We start from the raw sequence: 19,208 nt of genomic DNA on the forward strand, positions 1-19,208 counted from the left end.
GCTCAATCTCTATTCCTGGTCTTCCATAGCTATCGTCTTCTTTTTAAAGTACTGTATTTTATTGAATCTAAGCTAGTATTTGTTGTAAGAAGCACTATTATTATATGTACAACTAAGGAAGAAAAAATGCTGCCAATTAAACTGTGACATAATGCCATGATTACAGTCCTGTGAAATTGGTAAGTTGCTCACACCATTCTCTCTCTTATTTTGATAGACTTCATCTATTTTGAGGGACTTGGCAGTTGCTCCTGCCTTTGGTTGCATTGTTTGGCATGTGACAGGCAATTCTTTTTGCATGAGTCTCAGTTACAAAACATAACACAGTTTCTACTTAAGGATACCTTCTTTTCTTGGGTCCTGTCAAGCACTTAGTTTAAAAAAAAAAAAAGAATTGCAGTGGTTGGTCCAATAATAGACATTTGCTTCAGTAATATCAAATTACATCCTGCTGCTTGAATTCCATGCCTTTCTGCATACATAATAACTTCTCATTTCAATGCCAAACCATAGTGTAATCTTTTAAAAGACATTTTAAATGGCAATTAAACTCACATGTAATTGCAACAATGTATACAACTCAATTAAAGTGCTAACAACATGAACAACTGAGACCAAGTTCACCCATGCCCAGGTCTTGATGACCTCACCATGGCAGCTCCCTGGCCCAGGGTGATTATAAGATGCCAGTGATTGCAAGACTTGGCCTGATTTCAGAAGTGATGATGTGGCAACACAGACATCTTAGAATTAAGGAAATAGTTTTAATTCTTGGTGCTCTTTCTTGGCATTCTGAAAGTGTTCCTCCAGTTTGCCATCTAAGATATTCCTTAGTTTTCTGCCATGTCCATTTCACTCATTTACTCCTTCCTATATGACTTTTAATTATTGTTTAATAATTTAATTTTCTTGGGAATATCTTTCTCTTGTTACAACCAGTTTCCTTTATATCTTTTCTTGGACTCCATTGGCCAAATTCTCTTTCATAAGCCTGAAGCCCCTAATATTTACCCTGAGACTGTATTCTAGTTAGTAGAATGTGAATGGAGGTGATGTGTGTGACATATAGGACTTCCCCATAAGAGCCTTTAATGAGTTGTCCTCTGTTCTCTTTCCCCTCTTCCAGCTGAGTGCCATGAGAGGACAGTGACAACCTTGGGGCCTCATGGTGAAGGTGGCAGAAACTTTGTTAGCCTGGGTGCTCAGGGTGGACAGCTGCTCTTGCCAACCGGGAACATTTGCCTTGAGCTCTTTTGTAAGTGACAGATAAGCTTTTATTGTACTTCAGCCAAGATACAAACATTGGACGTATTTGTACAGCAGCTAAAGGTACTATAATAATACATATTCTGAAATCACTATGTACCCTAAAATATTTTAACAAAATTCTTGCAATATTTGTATGAGAACTGCTGGATTTTGCTTTCTTACCAAATTTGCTGTTGCTACTGAAAAAAGAGAATAACTTGGACAATGAAATGATCTCAAATGAGGTAATAAAATCATTACTGAATTTTAACAGTCCCATCATTTCTGCCAAAAAAAAGAAGCAGCTTTAGAATGCCATTCTTCTCCAGTGGGTGTGTGCTGGTCTGATTTGCTCGGACGTTTGCAGAGGGAAGAACACTTACAAGTAGTAAGGGGCTGAAGTCTGAGTGGATCATATCTGAATATTGTTTAATATTGTTTTAGATGACATATTTTTTAAAACTCCACTCTTCTAGCTAACTGCTTTCTCTTGATATCCTAAAAGTTTTGCTTCACTGTTTATTTTAAAAGAATCACAATTAGGTCTAACATAAACAAGGGAGCCGGCCCCCCATCACACTTTTGTAAGAACCTAAAATGTCATCTCACATGCCAGTCTTTGAAGCTTATCCTGATATCAGTTTAACTCAGCTTGTTTTCTGTATCTATATATCTATATGTATTTGTGTGTGTGTATATATATATGTATGTGTATATATATGTTTTTCAGTTTCAATTTCATAGGGCCATATTATGTTTTTATATTATAAATGCCAGTTTTAAAACATTTTCTTCTGGTTTCTATAGTAAGTTATCTTCAGAAGTGTGCTCTTTTTCTTAGTCTTCTGGGTGAGGCTCTGTTTCCCTTATTCTCTTATGGTGAATGCTGTTTTTCCATAGGCCTCCTGAGGGTTCCCTCCCCTATATCCCCAATTCCAGCCTGGCACATTGTTTACCTTTAAGCAAGTAGAGCTCCATGGAGCCTTGGTGCTTGCTTGCTAAAAGAGGAAGTGTAGACTGTGCAGATTGTCCTTGGCTTTGCTCACTGCCTTATTCCTAGGTCTGTAGCTGAAGGTCAGTTGTGGTGCACAGCTCCCCAGAATTGAAGGGCATTCATCTTGTGCGGCCCTGCTGAACTGGCATGGGATCTCTCCCTTCCTCTTCTGCCTATTCTCTAACAAACAGAACTGATGGGGGATGTGAAAATCTTACTCTCCAGCACAAACTACCTTTGTGCTTCCTATAAGGCATGCTGTGTGGAAAAAATGCCTTCCAAAACATGACGTGCCATTGCTAATCCTCTTCCCCTTCCTACTCTGTGGTTTCCCAGTAATTGCATTCTATGAATGGATGTAGATAGAGGGAGAGGGAATAGTTCTCCGGCTCCTCCAAAGAGTAGCAGTCATAATAGAGAGCCAGGTTTTCATTTGGCTTGGTCCTGGGTCTCTGAACTGGGGGTAGACAGTAGGAGAGAAAGAAAATGTCTATCATCTTTCGAGACAATGTGCTGTTCTGTTTTCTAAGGCGAAGCATGGACTGTTTGTCTCAATGCAGCTCAGCTTTAGCAGCTTTATTTAGTTAGTAGAGATTCCTTCTAGATTCTGGTAACAGGTTGTTAGTCTTCATTTTCATTATTGTTGTGAGTTTTTGTCATTTTTCTGTGTAATAAATAATTTAGGGAGAAGTTTGGAGACACTTTGTCAGGAACTTCTAGCCAAATGCCATTTTAAACTCTAAGTGGACCTGATTTTATTTTACTTAAAAAAATTAGGTCTGGGAATGAGTTCAGTTTATTTATTCGTCATGTTCTGCTTGCCTTAAACCACTTATGAAGTGTCCGCGGCCTCCAAGGTTGCCTTCCAATGCTTTTCTACATCTCATTGCTGCCTGCACCTTTGGAGGAGGCAGGGTGAGTGAGACCTTTTTTGGTAGCTTGTAGCCATGCCAAGCAGTCATCAGATGGTGGGTAATTTCTTTTACCTAGGGTCTCATTCACGGTTCTTTGGTTGTTAATAATAGAAACCAACTACAGCCAGTTGTGGGGTAGCGGGGTGCGGGAAGGGGAAAGAGTACATTGTGATACTGGGATATCTTACAAGATCCCAGGACAATTGGGCCTTTTAAGAGGTGGGACTGGGAGCTCTGAAGCTGTTAGGAGCCCATAGTCCTTGTTCATTCTCTTCCTCTGCATCCCTGTAAAAGAAACATTAATTGCAAACAAAGTCCTGTTCAGGGTGTACATGTGACTTTGCTCCTCACGTGCATGGCATAAAATGGATGCCCCATAGCTCCTGAGTTTTCCTCTTGTTTATCCAAGTAACCAGCTCAGATTGACTGGATGCCTCTAAGTCCTAATTTCAGACTCCCAGGGAGAGAGAGAACTGGATGGGCTTGGGTCACGTGACCACCCTAGTCCAGTCGATATGGATGTGTGTCTGTGTATGAGATGGTACAAGCATGACTACTGGCAGTTGTCAGAGAAAGGGGCTTATTTTGAACTCGGCAAGTCCCTGCCACCCTTGGCTTTTGGAATCAAACCCCCTAGACCCAATCCTAAGGGGAGCAGGAGTTCCTGGCCATGTGTTCCTTGGGCAGAGTGGAGCACTCGTCTTCCCACTGTGCTGTGGGGTCTTGGGGGGCTCTCGTGAAGAACTGTTGAGTAATTTATAAGACCGCACACCTGCATCTCCGGCTGACTCCCATTACATTTTCCTTGGCCTTGTTCCCACTCCCCTCTAATCAGAAAGACTCTTTAATGAGAGATCCACATTTTGCAAACTTCCTTTCTAGCAGAGACATTATTTGGAAACCAAAGTCTTCCTTCAGTTCCAAAGTGGGACCAGTCAAAGTGGATGTGGCCCTTCTGCCACCGTTACTTTTTTCTATGCAGGTAGAAATGGAAATAGGTTTTTCATAGATACATGCAATGGCATTCCGCTGAAGTTAGCAATGTAGGGAGAGCACTGGCCTAGGGGTCAGAAGTTCAGATTTTGTTCTTGACACTGCCTTTCATGTAAAACTTCAAGACTTTGAGCAATTTTACAAATCAACCCAAATCTCAGTTTTTAAATTAATAAAATGGGGATAATATTTTCTTTGTTTATCATCTTATCAAGTGCTTTAAATATGATCAAATTTCTATAAATAGAAGACATTCTTTATTACATGCCTTTGCATGGACTATTCATCACTTTCTAACAAAATTCCAATGGTTAATAGAGATTTGAGGTTTGACAGCAGCAGGAGAGGTGGGAACATAGAAAGAGTGATTAAATAATCCATCTAATCATATAAGGTAAGTTAGAGGCAGAGCTGGGGTTAAGCCTTAAACACAGGTCTTCTCCAGGTCCTGTTTTTTCCCAGCAGACCCTCCTGTCTCAGTTTGCAGTTGGCCCATCCTGATCTGACATAAAAGAAGAGACTCCATGTTGAGATCCAACCAGAGCGCTAGGCCCTGCCCACATGATAAATGTCTGTGTGTATCCTGAACAAGACTTTTAGTTAAAAGTGCTGACTGCTTTGTAAATCTCTACGCCTGGGAGATCAGACCTGTTGGCATTTTCTCCTCTTCCTCCAGTGTCTCACGTACCTTGGTGGGTGGAGGAGGAGGTGAGAAGAACTGCAGTAGGCAGGGACTCAGCAGAAGTAAGGCAGGTCTAGGGGGTGATTTTCTCATCTGTGCCTTCTGCGGACTTTGTGGGATGAAATAGGGTTAAACTAAATGACAAAACCTGAAGAAATGAGGCCTCACTTCCTTTGGTTTTGAAGCAGCAGAGGAAATGTGACAGGAAAAGCAAAAGGAGTAGGTACCACTGTTAGAGCACTTTATAGTTTACAAGGGCGTTCATGGGTGCTGGGCCACTGATCTTCACAAGCAACCCCGTGGGCCGGATTTTGTTATTGTTGCTGTAATCTGGACAAGGATCTGGATAACCAGTCCAGCCAAGATTAAGAACCACTGCTCTCTGCTTTCCCCAAATTCATGGCAGGGGATCAGTAACCTTCTGACTTATTGCTTCTCCAACTTTAATGTGCATAAGAAATACCCGTGGCTGTTGTTAAACATCAGATTCTGAACCAGGAGGTCTGGGAGGGCCTGAGATTCTGCATTTCTAATCAGCGACCAGGTGGTGCTGCTGGTCCTGGAACCACCTTTGAACAGTAAGGTAATCTGACCAATACACCTCCCTGATATTGACCACCTGCAGGGCTGGGTGTCACCTGACCCAGGATCCCCAGCTGTGCTCAGGTGGACTCTCCCCTTTCCACATGGCCCCCCTGCCTTTCTCCCCACCCTCTTTGTATTAGATTCTCCAAGGGTCCCATGACAGGCCTTCTGCAAGATGGGGAATGAGAACAGTTGGTAACTTGGCTCAGTCCAAATCTGAAATCTCAAAACCAGGAATGAGCAGGCAGGTGAGCCCACAGCGCAGCCCCAAGTCTAAGGCTGAAGACCTGAGAGCCCCCGGCAGGCTGATGGTGCAAGTCCCAGAGTCAGAGGCCAAAGGACTGGTGTCTGATGGCCAAGGGCAGGAGGAGAGAAAGCAAAGTATCCCATGTGGGAAAGGAGAGAGAGAGGGGATGGGGCGGCGGAGAGGAAACTCAGTAAGCTGAATATGCCCCCTCCTCTGCCTGCTTTGCTCTGGCCGTGCTGGCAGCCGACTGGATGGTGTCCTCCCCGTTGAGGGTGGGTCTTCCTCTCCCAGTCCACTAACTCCCAAGTTCACATCGTCTGAAAACACCCCCACAGACGCACCCAGAAACAATGCTTCACCAGCCACCTCGGCCTCTCTCAGTCCAGTCAAGTGGACAGCTGATATTCACACTCACACTCCCCAGCCATGCTGGTGTGGGACTCCGCCCGTTTGTGTGGTTGTACCCTGAGCCGCGGTGCCCCTTCCCTCCCACCACTGGATTTGCTCCTGTGGCTCCCAGACTGGGCTTCCTTCCAGCACTGCTTCTGGTGCCAGGGCCGGTGCCTTCCAGTTGCCCCATTTGTCGATGTCAGCCCAGTTCTAAGGTCTGCCAAGGCAGGAGGGAGGCTGTGCTGTGAAGACCAGAATGTCTGGTGTTTGGGATCAGAAGATTTGAGTCCTGCTGTGCTACTTCCTGGCTGTACGACCTTGAGCAAAAGTTACCTGACCTCCCTAAGCCTTAGTCTCCTCACATGTAAAGGGATGAAGATTGCTGCCTTATAGGTTTACTGTGAGATTAAATTAGATGATGTAGGTAAGGTACCCACATCAGAGACTGGTATGCTCAATAAGCAATCATTCTATTATCGAGGAGGTTGGAACTAAGCGTTTATTGAATATCCAGCATGTGCTGTACGTGGCACTAAGTGATTTGTAGACATCATCTCATTTGAGCCACAGAACAACCCTGCAAGGTACACATGATTTTCTCTATGGTACCGGTTAGGTAATTGAAATCAGAAAGGGTAATGACTCACCCAAGAATGCACAGCAAGCAGGCTCTAGGACCAGAACTTGCATTCCTATTTGTTGAACTTTGAAACCTTTTGCAGGTTTCTTTTCTTTTCTTTTTTTTTTTTTTTTTGAGATGGAGTCTCACTCTGACGGCTGGAGTGCAGTGGTGCCATCTCGGCTCACTGCAACCTCCACCTCCCAGGTTCAAGCGATTCTCCTGCCTCAGCCTCCAAAATAGCTGGGACTATAAGTGCATGCCACCACGCCTGGATAATTTTTGTATTTTTAGTAGAGATGGGGTTTTACTATGTTGGCCAGGCTGGTCTCGAACTCCTGACCTCAAGTGATCCACCTGCCTTGGCCTTCCAAAGTGCTGGGATTACAGGCATGTGGGCCCCTTTTGCAGGTTTCTTTGAGAGAGTTATTGCTGGTTTGACAGAGAAGAGGGGCTCAATGAACACCTGTCTTCTTAGATGTTTAGGGGAGGGAAAGCAGCACCCAGAGGGCTGAAAGGCAGCCTCGCTGCTCTCCATTTGCCGTTGGAGGACAGACTGGCAAACAGGAACAGGCAGGTTAGAGATGAACAGCCAGGTCAGAAAGTGACTTTGATGGGAGACACTAACAAATGCTGCCTGTCTAGCCCCTGCCCTGTGAGCGAGGGAATGTGGGGCCTGCAGGAACTATAGGCTTTTGCATCTTCCTCAAGAGCAAAAAGCAATTTTTTTTTTGTGCCCTAGTGGATCAAGAAGGAGCTGGTGGCAGCAGGGTGAGTAGAGTGGTTGGGGAATGAATGAGATTTCCCTGTGGTTGAGGCGTGGGATGGAACGGACACACCAGCAGGCTCCCACCGACTCTCCATGCAAAAGAGTCCTGAGGGGCCCAAGCTCACCCATCTCATCATCTGCCAGACCCAGGCACTGCCCATCATGAGTCTCTGCCTTTGCTGCCTGTGGCACTAGGTTGTTGATGTGTAATGTAAATCGTGCCTCCAGTAAAGCAGCCTGACAGCGGGGAGTATGCTGATGAGAACGTGAAAGTGGACTGGGGAGGCTGCAGGGAGCTGGCAGCTTGAAGTCCCAAATAATGGGCCGTGGAGCTTGTCTGGTCCCTTGCGGTGGACTCTTGCCCATCCCACGCCTTGCTCAGTGGGATGAGGAAACCACAGGGTGAGGGATGGAGACTGAGGCTAGAGACCTTAGATACGGCTGTCCCAGAGACTGGTTACTTAGCTCACTGTCCCCTCCAACCAGGCAAGCTGTGGCACAGTGCCCGACATGCTCCTTAGAACGGTGGCAGCATTGCCATGCGCTGCTGTGCAGTAGGAGGACAGTGACGCTTTTTGCACTGCCCTTTCACATCTCTTAGTGCAGGCATTAAGATGAATCCATTTCACGGAGGAAGAGACGGAGCTAAGAGAAACTCAGCCAAAGTCTCCTGGCTTCCCAGTGACGGTGTTGGCCCTGTCTTACCGGATGGGAAACAGCACTCCACCTTACTTTATACCAGCTCTTGTAGCTCTAAAGCTTGTAGTTGTCTATCTTGAAAAATTTGCAGATTTTACACAATTACAGGGGAAAAAAAGAATGGTGACGTATGCTGCTTTATTTATATAGCTAGATTCATACATTTGTGATAGTTCTATTATGTCTCACAGTTACCAAAATTCTTTTTATCTGAGAATGGGGAGTAAGGGCTTTGCAGAAGAAGAGTCCTCTCCCCTCATCCTTATAACTGCTAAATTGAGATCCTCTAATTCACTTAAAGCTTTATTTATTTTTAACTTTTCATTTTGAATTAATTTCAGTTTTTTAAAAAAAGTTGCAAAAATAGTACAAAGAATTTCCATACACTCTTTAACCCAGATTCCCCCAAATGTTACCATCTTATATAACTTAGAGTATGATGATCAAAATCAGGAAATTAACATTGATAAGATACTATGATATAATCTGTAGCCCTAATTCGAGTTTTGCCAGTTTTCCCAATACTGTCCTTTTCTCGTCCAGGATCCAGCCCAGGGCCACACATTGCCTTTGGCTCTCACGTCCCCTTAGTCTCCTATAATCTGCGATAGTTCTTTAATTTTTCCTTGTCTCTCATTACCTTGACATTTTTGAAAAATACTGCCCAGTTATCATCTAGAACGTCCTTAATTTGGGTTTATGTCATGTTTCTTTGAGATCTAAATCCAGGTCATACATTTTTGGCAAGAATATCACAGAAGTGATGTTGTGTCTTTCCCAGAGCATCATATTAAGGAGCACATCATCGATTTGTTTTATTATTGGTGATGACTTTGACTTCCTGTTTAAGGTGGGGACTGCCAGATTTCTCTACCATAAAGTTACTATTTTTACTTTAGTAAAGCATTTTGTGGAGAGATGCTTTCTAGATATCCTGTTTCTCATCATATTCTGCCCTCTGATTTTAGGATTCTTTAATAATTCAGCCTGAAATAATAATTTATTTTTATTTATTTATTTTTTTTGAGACAGGGTCTCACTTTGTCAAACAGGCTGGAGTGCAGCGGTGCAATCAGCTCACTGTAGCCTCGACCACCTGTGCTCAAGCAATCCTCTTACCTCAGCCCCCCAAGTAGCTGGGACAGCCAGGCCCACGCTTGGCTAATTTTTTTTTTTTTTTGTATTTTTTTTAGAGACAGAGTTTCATCATGTTGCCCAGGCTGGTCTCAAACTCCTGAGCTCAAGTGATCCACCCACCTTGGCCTCCTAGAGTGCTAGGATTATAGGCATGAGCCACCGTGCCTGGCCTGAAATAATTATTACTGTGGAATTTAATTCATATATAAATATAAAGACAAATATAGGTATAAAACAAAATTAACAGAACTTTGTAGGCATATTGGCAGGATTGTATCACTTCTTACATCTGGAACACTATTTGCTTGGTTCTCTTCATATTTTGGTCTCATTTAGTACAGTTTAGTCAGTTGTTAAGTACATAAAATGTTGAACACCACATCTTTGCCACTGTGTTTACTTTCAAGAGTGACAATATTTCAGCTGCTGCCTGATCGTTCCATCTGATTCATTCTTGTCTTTCAGAGCAAACAGCCCCACTGGAGCTCAGCACTGCCTTCTAAATTTGATCTGAACTTAAGCTCTGTCTCCTCTATTTAGGCTGAAGATATGTGGTATTGCTCTGTGTGCCCCAGCAATTCTAATTTCCACTCAGGACCAGGCTTTTCTTGGTGAATGACTCAGCATTTTACAATCTGACATTTTAAGAGAAGCACTTTGCTATTAAACTGAAGCCATATATTAAAGTTAAACCCCGAAGCAAGCATGGGTTCAACAAAGGTTAGACAAAGATAAGACAATTTGTCACACCTACCAGCCTGCAGTGCACAGCAGGAATGAAATGAGATTCCTAAACCCGAGCAGACTGGGCCCTTTCACTTCTAATTCTAATGTGAAGAAACTCTCCTCTGAGGTGACTGTCACTCTGGAATCCAACAGACCCTCTCTTGGCTGCATTGATAGACTTTGCAGAGGGGTTCTGTGCTCTAGATCTGAGGCCCTGGTTAGGACAGAGTATTTTAAGTGTGTTTAAAAGTTGAGCCAGGCGCGGTGGCTCATGCCTGTAATCCTAGCACTTTGGGAGGCTGAGGCGGGTGGATCACCTGAGGTCAGGAGTTTGAGACCAGCCTGGCCAACATGGTGAAACCCTGTCTCTACTAAAAAAACAAAAATTAGATGGGCGTGGTGGTGTGTGCCCATAATCCCAGCTACTCAGGAGGCTGAGACAGGAGAATTGCTTGAACCCGGGGGGCAGAGGTTGCAGTGAGCCGAGATCATGCCACTGCACTTCAACATGTGACAGAGTGAGACTCTGTCTCAAAAAACAAAAAAATGTTGAGCTTTGAAATTGGGAAAGTTATAAATTACAAGTGAGTTGTTAATGATTTTTGTTTTGTACTGAAGAAGAATTGATGAAATAGAAAAGAAAGTCTAAAGAAAGCCTTCCTATATGAGCATCGAGAGGGCAGGCTGTCCATCGAGTGATGGTTCTTCCCGCATCACGTATTTCAGGTGTACAGAATTGTTGATGTCTTCCCTGCCTGCAGAAATCCTGGCCAGGAGGGATGGCCATTTGAGTATATCCCTTTTTTGTCTGTGTTCTACCTATACAATAGTAGTGATCCAAGGCACTTTTCTTTGTTAGGCTTGCTATGTCTTGCTCTTCCTGAGTATGGGAGGAGAGGAAGAGGTAATCAGAAGGAGAAAAGGAGAGGAGAGGGACATGAATGCCAAACGGGGAGAAAGTAAGGGAAATGCAGCTATTTTCTGTCTCTGTCCCTTTCCAATATCCTACCATCTAATTCCTGATACTTTAGGTCCTCTAAATCCTCCAGTGAGGCCCTAGTGCCCCTGGAGATTCACGCCCACCTCTCCTAGCCCACTGCAAACTTGTTTGTCCCTTACCAAGCAGTCTTAAAGCCAACCCACAGCCCTCAGGTCCTCTCTTCCACAGGCTTGCCAGAGCTCTCTGCTCTTACCTAGAATCTGCATCATTTACTGATTCATCCAGCAATCATTTACTGATGCCTATTCTAAGCCAGTCTAGGGGTTGTGCTAAGTTCTGGATATATTAAAAAAAAAAAAACCTAGACATGATTCTTACCCTTGGGGCACTCCTGGTTTAGTGGGGGGATGAGTTTTTAAGTAGATAATCATAATGCAATAATAAGATAACATTCCCTAAGTACCATGTATCCTTTCAAAATCGCTCTACTCATTTGACGCTCATGATCACCCTAAGAAGCAGGTGCTGTTTTATATAGTTTGCTGCAGATGAGGCACAGAGAGGTTAAATAATTTACCTAAGGTCATACAGCTGATAAGTGGCAGAGCTGAGATTTGAACCCAGATGAGCTGGCTCCAGACGTCAGGCTTATGACTGGCGTGCTTTACTGCCTTGAAGTGGGTCAAGCATGGTAGTGGGTACCCCAAGTGTTACAGGCATATGGGGCAGGGCCTGGTGGAGGTGTTGGGGTGGTTGAGGGAGTTCTGGGTCTGGTGATGTGTAGGAGGTAGCTTGGTGGGGGCCTGGGCAGCTGAAGTTTCCTTCCCTCCCTTCTTTGTTTTTCCTGCCTTCAATATTTCCTGAGCATGTGTTATGTGCTGGGCAGGCTGCTAGGTACTGGGGACCAAGGATGGGCTTAATGTAGCCTGGGAGAGCCTTGTACATACCCTACTTGCCAGAGCCACGTGGTCGGTGTTCTACTAGCAGCATGGACATGAGTGGCTGCGGGAGCAGTGTGGAGGACTTCCTGGAAGAGGTGAGGAGCCCATCCTGTGGGAAGAAGGGGAAAGTTGTACTTGGTATGGCTGCTCCAAGATGCTTAAGTATAGATTTTTTATTTTTATTTTTTTGAGATGGAGTCTTGCTCTGTCACCCAGGTTGGAGTGCAGTGGCGTGATCTCGGCTCACTGCAACCTCCGCCTCCTGGTTTAAGCAATTCTCCCTGCCTCAGCCTCCCAAGTAGTTGGGATTACAGCTGCCTGCCACCACGCCCAGTTAATTTTTTGTATTTTTAGTAGAGATGGGGTTTTGCCACATTGGCCAGGCTGGTCTCAAACTCCTGACCTCAGGTGATCTGCCCATCTCAGCCTCCCAAACTGCTGGAATTACAGGCATGAGCCACCGTGCCCAGTCAAGTATAGATATTTAATCAAGTCAGTTGAGCTCTGAGTTCTTGTTAGTCAAGGTTGGTGAGAAGTCTAAAAACCAGTCATTACTTGGGGCACCCCCCTGACAAGGTTTTCCAGGAACCCCATAACAGATGTGGGTCTCAGTCTGTGGGTTCCACTCTGCAGGGATCTGAGACTGCTCTTGAAAGCTGCTCTTCCACCATCTGTCTAGCACTGTGGCACCTCCTGAACCCATCTTGCCTCACAGCCATGTCCAGACCAGCCTGGTCTCTTGGACAGCTTTGGGGGTGGCACCAGTCTCACCACACCTCTCTGTAGCTCCCAAGGCTTGGTGACTTCATTTCACTCAGCCCCATGCAGCCAGCAGCCTGTATAATCTGAGCCCTCACCGACAGGCTGCCCTGGAGCCCACCCTCCTTTCTCCTCATTTGAACTGAAATATAGAACCGTATTGACCACCCTCTGGTGACTGGGGAGCCTAGACCTTAGGAACAGTTCTTAATTCTTATGAGCGGGAAACATTCCTTTCCAGGGACTCTGGAGAAACAAGATATGAAGTAATTTCCCAGTAACTGTAACAAGAGCATTCCAGACAGAGCAGGCAGCGTGTGCGTCCCTGTGCTGGGTCTGTTGGGAGTCCTTGCGCAGGGGTATAGGCTGTCACTGGGGGATCAAGGGGAGAGGGTGGTTGGGGAAGCTGGTGGAGGCCTTGAAGGCCCAGCTGGTGGGAAAAAACCCAGCATTTACCCGAAGCAGGGCACTGATGTGACCAGATCTGGAGCTTAGGCAGATTGGGGTAACTCTGAGTGCATGTGTGTGTGTGTGTGCACGTGCGTGTGTGCACGCTCACGTATGTGCACGGCCATGTAACAAAACTCAACTGAGAATGACCTAACCTACTGTATGATTTCCTCCAGGGTGGGCCCTGGGATTGGTGTTGTCCTGGTCCCTTCTGGAGTGATGTGCTGTGTGGGACTACACAGCCCGCGGGCCTGCAGCAAGGTGCTTGTCCCGCTTCACCTTGGCTTTTATTCCAGGCAAAGCCGAGAGCAGGGTGGAGAGATGATAGCCCATGTCCCAAGGGATAGGTGAGCAGCAAAGACCAGTCAGAGCAGTGACAACGTTAATTTTGTATTTTCATCCTTGGGAAACCAAAAAGGATGGACCTTAGAAGACTCTTCTGTCCCGGCTCCTTAGCAGAAGTGAGGGAGAGATGAGACCAGAGATTTTTCATTTCCCCACCATCTCAGCCAGATCCAGTTGCTGAGCTGGATCTGGAGCTTCCTCTCTGCACCAAGAAGATGCCCAACTCCCCCTAGTCCTCAAATGACTGCAAAGTCAGGGGGACTGCAAGTGACTCCAGAGCTGGGTAATGAGATCAGAGGAAAAAGTGCCCAGCTGTGACATTAAGTGGGATTTATTTTCATCATCTCAGGTTCCCTATTGTATGGCATACTCCTTCACCACCTGCACATACAGCCATATTTTAGGATACAACTGCGAGGGTTTCAGGGCTCTCTGAGAAATAATGGCTCTGTGCTGTCACTGCATAGCTGTGCCCTTTCAAATATACAAAACAGGAAGGTGACCTGCTGATTCAGTGGAAGGCAATAAGCCACACATTCAATTAGAATGACATACATTTAATCACAATTGTCTAATGGTATTTGAGATTTCTTATTTAATCAGTAATGAGGCTATCCAGCAATTAATGTTGCTGGAATCGTGGCTGCCCTTACCAGCGCAGTGTTGATTTTAAACTAATCTTTCTATTTTATATTCTCTTTCTATTTCTGGAGTTAATAAAGGTGCTGTAATGAGTTGTATTAAAACATCAATTTCTTCTTTTGTTGCACCCACAAGTTTATCATGGTTTTTAATCAAAATACTGAGGTACTGTAGGAAAGGGTTTTCCACGTCAGGTTTTGCCTGGATGGAGAAGCCAAGGTGGGAGATGGTGCGTCTCACTTGTTTCTGACTCTCCCAGCTGTTTGGGCCCCCTCTGGAGAAGTTTGAGGACAGGGACAGCTTCATAGGTGACCTGTGAGGTTGATCAAGGCCCTGTGCTTAGAAGGGCCCTCAGCTTGGTTTGATGTTCTGCTATTGCTGTTTTGAAAGTCTGAATACCTTTTGAACAAGGGGCCCCTACATTTTCATTTTGCACTAAGCCCTCCAAATTGTGTGGCCAATGCTGTTTGAGGATCTGTGAGAATGGGTGTGTGTTGATGGTCAGAGGGCAGTGCACGAGAGGCTGCCCCCAGTGCCTCACCTTGAGTTGGTGCTATGGGACCCCAGGCTGCACAGGGCAACGTGTGGCGGGCAGAAGAGGCTGATAGGGACAGGTGAGATGAGATCTGTTTCTGGGTTTCCCACATGGCTTTTTCTGTCCCAAAAACTCTCTTTTTCTTGCAGTCCTACAGCTTAGGGTGTAGAAATATCAAACAAAAATAGATGTGAATGAAAGGGCATTTATAAAAATTCTTTTTTTGGTAGGGGAATTATGTTTTTCTCTGACATCTGTTTTTAAATAGTTATAACAATGGGTAACATTTATTGAGTACCTACCATGGCCTAGGCACTGTTCTAAGTGATTTACATATTTTATCTCATTTAATACTCACAACCATCCCATGAGATAGGCACAATGATTAATGCTAACTAAATTAAGGAAACTGAGTCAAGAGAGGTTAAGTATATTGCCCAAGGCCATACAGCCAAAGAATGACAGAACCAGGCTTACATCTAAACTTAGGTTCTGGCATGGTAGAGATGGGCTTTTGGAGAGAGGCAGATCTGAGTTTGTTGTTGCTTCTGCCATTGGTTATCTCTGTGACCTTGGGCAAGTCACTTAACCTCTTTGTGCTCCAGTTCCTCATTTGTAAAGTGGAGATAATAGAACTTATCACATAGGGCTAATTTGAAAATTAAACAAAATAGTACATGCATCTCATCTAGTCTGGTGCCTGACACAGTGACCAGCTACATGCATGTTGTTTCTCTGCCTCTTTACAAATGTATATTTCCAGCTCTCTTCCTGCAGAAGCCTTTCTCATCTGCCCTCATCTCACACTCCTCACTCATTTGCTCTACTATTTCCTTGAGAATCATATTCACACCATTATATTGATACATGCTTGTTTATATTAATTTATCAATAATTTGTTGAGCACAAGGAATAATATGAATTTAGCAGTGATTGTGCTCCAGCCATGAGCAAGGCTCTAGGTATTATACGATGTTTAAGGCACTGCCATGATTTTGAAGTGTCCTGGCCAATTGAAGGATGCAATTCATGCCTCCAGGGACTCAGAATCTACTTGGGAAGTGCAATCCATAACAAACATGTGAGATATGAAAATAACGAACAAAACATTTTATGGTTGTGTCAAAATGAGTGTATAGAGGAGAATAAGAATGTGTAAATTCATTCATTCATTTAAATATTTAGGTGTTTGTGTTAGGTACTGTGGCAGATGCTGGGAATATAATGATGAGTAAAACCCACAGGATCCCAGTCCTCATGGAGTTTATATTCTAGTAGAGATGACAGACACTGAATAAATGGAATGGATCCACATATAATTAGTTACAGTTGTAATAAGTGATAGGAAAGAAAAAGTGGGGGGTGGGTGCTTAGTACTCAGAAGATGGGGCAGATTGCTACAGCCCAGGGTAATTAGAGAGTAATTTGTGGGAGAGGTCCAATTGAAGAATGGTTGATGAGAATAACTGGAGAGGAAAGATGGGGTCCAAAGGTCAGGACATAGAAACAGTGTTCAGATGTTAATAATAATAGTTTATATCTGGATTACGCTTTCAAATTTCATGGTGATTTCACATACATGCTGCATTAGTCAGGATAGATTATGTCATGCTGCAGTAACAAACAATCCCAATAGACACAGGTTTGTATCTCGTTCATCTACTTGTGTGTGAGTCTGCCCTGCTCATCATAGTCACTCAGGGATGAGGTCCATCTCAACCTGTGCTTTTAGGATCACCTGGCAGGAGAAAGGGAATGGTGCAGTGGCTCTATCTTAGTTGTCTACCACTGTATAACACAGTACCATAAAACTTAGTGGCTTAAAACAATGTGTACTTATAATGTCACCATTTCTGTGGGTTAGGAATCCAGAGGTGCTTTAGCTGAGTGGTCTGGCTCAGGGTCTCTGATAAGACTGCAATCAAGGTGTCTGCTGAGGCATAGTCATCTCAAGGCTCAACAAGGCCAGGTCAGCTTCCAAGTTCATTCACATGGTTATTAGCAGGTGACCTTCTCCATTAGGGAAGCCATGTGGAAAGAGCCAGAGAGAGAGAGAGAGAATGTCAGCAAGATGGAAGTCACAGTCTTTTATTACCTAATCTTGGAGGTGACATTCCATCCTTTTTGCCATATTCTAGTCACCAGAAGCAATTGGCTGGGCCTCACTTACACTCTAGAGGAAGGGACCACACAAGTGTACACTTGCCAGGAAGTGAGTGTCACTGGGAACTGCTTTGGAAGGTGCCTAGCACAGGCTCTGTATGCTTCAACCTCCATCTAGCCCATTAAGGTGTGATACATGGCCACCCCTAACTTCAGGGGGGCAGGGAAGTGCAACCCTACCATGTGCATGGAGGCGGAACTGGTGTATTTGTGGGCAGCTCTGATGACAACATAGGGTCTGTGCAGGGTATTGTCAGGGAAAAGTTAGAAAGTCAAATTGGGGTTTATGAGATTAATTGGCTTGAAGGAAATAGGCAGTCGATGAGTATTTTTGAGCATGAGAGTAATTTTAACCATAATTCTTAAAATAATTATTAATTGGCTTTTTAAATGGAAAGGTAGACATATATGTGCAAGGTAAAAATTCATAGGGATATGTACTAAAAAGCAAGGTTCCTTTCCATCCCTAGCGCCTAACTCTTTCCCAGAATGGAACATTTTTTTCCTTCTCTTGTATATCTTGGAAACATTTAGGGATATCTAAATTATATATGTACATATTCCTACTCTCCTTTAAAATCAATTAGACATGTCTATTGTTTTGTATCTTACTTTTACACCTCACTGTATATCTTGGAGGTAATTTCACAGCACCTATAGGTCTATCTAATTGAAGCTTTTAGACAGATTTAAACTGGTGGCCGTGTGGAATAGAGCAAAAAGAATGGAGGAAGCTAGACCAATTGAGAGGCTCTTTCAACAATTCTGATTATTTTCATTCATTCATTCATTCATCAAACATTCATTTAGGTCTCTGCTGGGCTATGTGATATCAAGTCACATAAGAAATGATCCTTGTTTTCAAAGAGCTCAAGGGAGCTCAGACAAGTAAACAAATAAATCATTATACAGTGTGCTCAAGTATTGTAACTGGAATGAAGTGACAAGTATCTAGACTGGGATGTCTCCATGAGATAAAAAACATGAGTGTCTGGAATACTCTTTCTTTGGAAAAAAAATGGCAACGAGTAAGGTTTGATAAAGGGTTGCTCTGGGCCCTCCTGAGGGAGAGAATTGACATATCTTTTATTTGTTTTATATCTCTGCATCCTCTTTCCTCTTTCTCTTGCACACACTGACACGACATCTGATGCAGGCCAGTGTTGCCCAACAGGCTGAGGGAAAGACTAGGGAGAGCCTCACAATGGAACCAATGGTTTCTCTGTCGTTTCTCAACCTTTGTGGATAGAATCTCCACCCCTGCCTGGCTGTAGTACAAACAGTGAGCAAATTCTTGATTATGCAGGAAGGTGAGCCTCTGATTCATTTTTGATGTTCAATGTTATGAGGCAAGCTTCCTGGCCATCTGTTCAAAGGAGGAACATGGTATATATTTTGATTATTTTATTTTTATCTTAATCAAGTGGCAACTTTCCATCTTGACGTATCTTAACCTGAGCAGTTGTGGCTGGGAGGCAATGGGCTTGAACAGACTGAGGAGGGAGGGGGAAAGCTATGCCACTTGGCATAACGCTGATGTTAGATGCAGGAGCAAAGGCCTCTCAGCACAGCCCTTTCACCTGCCTAATTAGTGAAGAAATTGCAAGCCCTCCAATGGGCACTGAAATGCTCAGAGCGCCAGCCTCCTGGGGCTCATTACACAAATGAGGGCGGAAGACAGGAATGGTCAGGATCTGCTGGTTACAGCCTGGGGGCCGAGGGGAGCCTGGGCTGGGGACAAGAGGCACCTGGAACTGGAAAGTGGCGGCTTCTTGAAATGGTATAGGGACGCAGCCCACGTCTTAGTCCATTTACCGACATTAAGGGATTGAAGTTTTTCCAGCCAATGGCATTTGATGGAAATGTGCAATTATGTTCCAGGAGCTGGCTCTAGGACCTCACGGAGTGAGTGAGATGGAGTAGAGAGCTATAATCTAGCCATTTGTCTTAGTTTGGGTTTCCCTGAAAACTAAGCCTGAAACAAGGATTCAGGAGCAGTGAGTTTATTTGTGGAGTGATCCAAGGCAAGGGAGTGAGGGAGCAGAATGAGCCAGGCGGGGAAGGAGGAAAAGTCAGTCTTGAGTTGGCTGCCATGGCGGGCAACTGGGCCCAGTCCTGGTGAGGATCTGTCAGGAGTGTCTCCTTGGACACTTCACTCTGGAGGGGAGGTGGGTGCATTTATTCTCTGATTTCTAACCCATTCATTGAGGTTGCCTTCTGGGGTTGCCGTCAGACTGCCCTGCATGCTAAGATCCTGGAATTTCGGATAAAAAGCCCTGAGGGAAACAAATAGACCAGCAGGATGCTGGAGGTGGCCCCTGCACCATTCATGGGGACTGACTCTTGCAGCTGCAGCAGAAATCCTGGTGGCCTAAGGGGAAGTGGTGTGGGGGCACAAAACACATCCCAGTCACTCCTGGAGCCAGGAAG

At 44.5% G+C, this 19,208-nt stretch overlaps 1 long non-coding RNA gene across 1 annotated transcript in view, besides 1 other annotated feature; it reads left to right on the forward strand.

Moving 5' to 3' along the window:
• The window catches only part of LINC02762 (long intergenic non-protein coding RNA 2762), a 91,786-nt gene that overhangs the window by 21,852 nt on the left and 50,726 nt on the right, over positions 1-19,208 (forward strand). Inside the window, exon 2 of the long non-coding RNA NR_126004.1 lies at positions 1,127-1,329. This is a non-coding gene — a long non-coding RNA (long intergenic non-protein coding RNA 2762). The remainder of the gene's footprint in view (positions 1-1,126; positions 1,330-19,208) is intronic.
• Positions 15,014-15,515: an enhancer, noted in NCBI's record as "NANOG hESC enhancer chr11:112178337-112178838 (GRCh37/hg19 assembly coordinates)". NCBI's record gives its function as "activates a minimal SCP1, AML or CMV promoter by ChIP-STARR-seq in naive H9 embryonic stem cells {active_cell/tissue: H9 hESC(naive)}" and the evidence as "EXISTENCE:reporter gene assay evidence [ECO:0000049][PMID:30033119]".

The sequence above is a fragment of the Homo sapiens genome, chromosome 11 (assembly GCF_000001405.40).
Source record: "Homo sapiens chromosome 11, GRCh38.p14 Primary Assembly".
Lineage (NCBI taxonomy): Eukaryota > Metazoa > Chordata > Mammalia > Primates > Hominidae > Homo > Homo sapiens.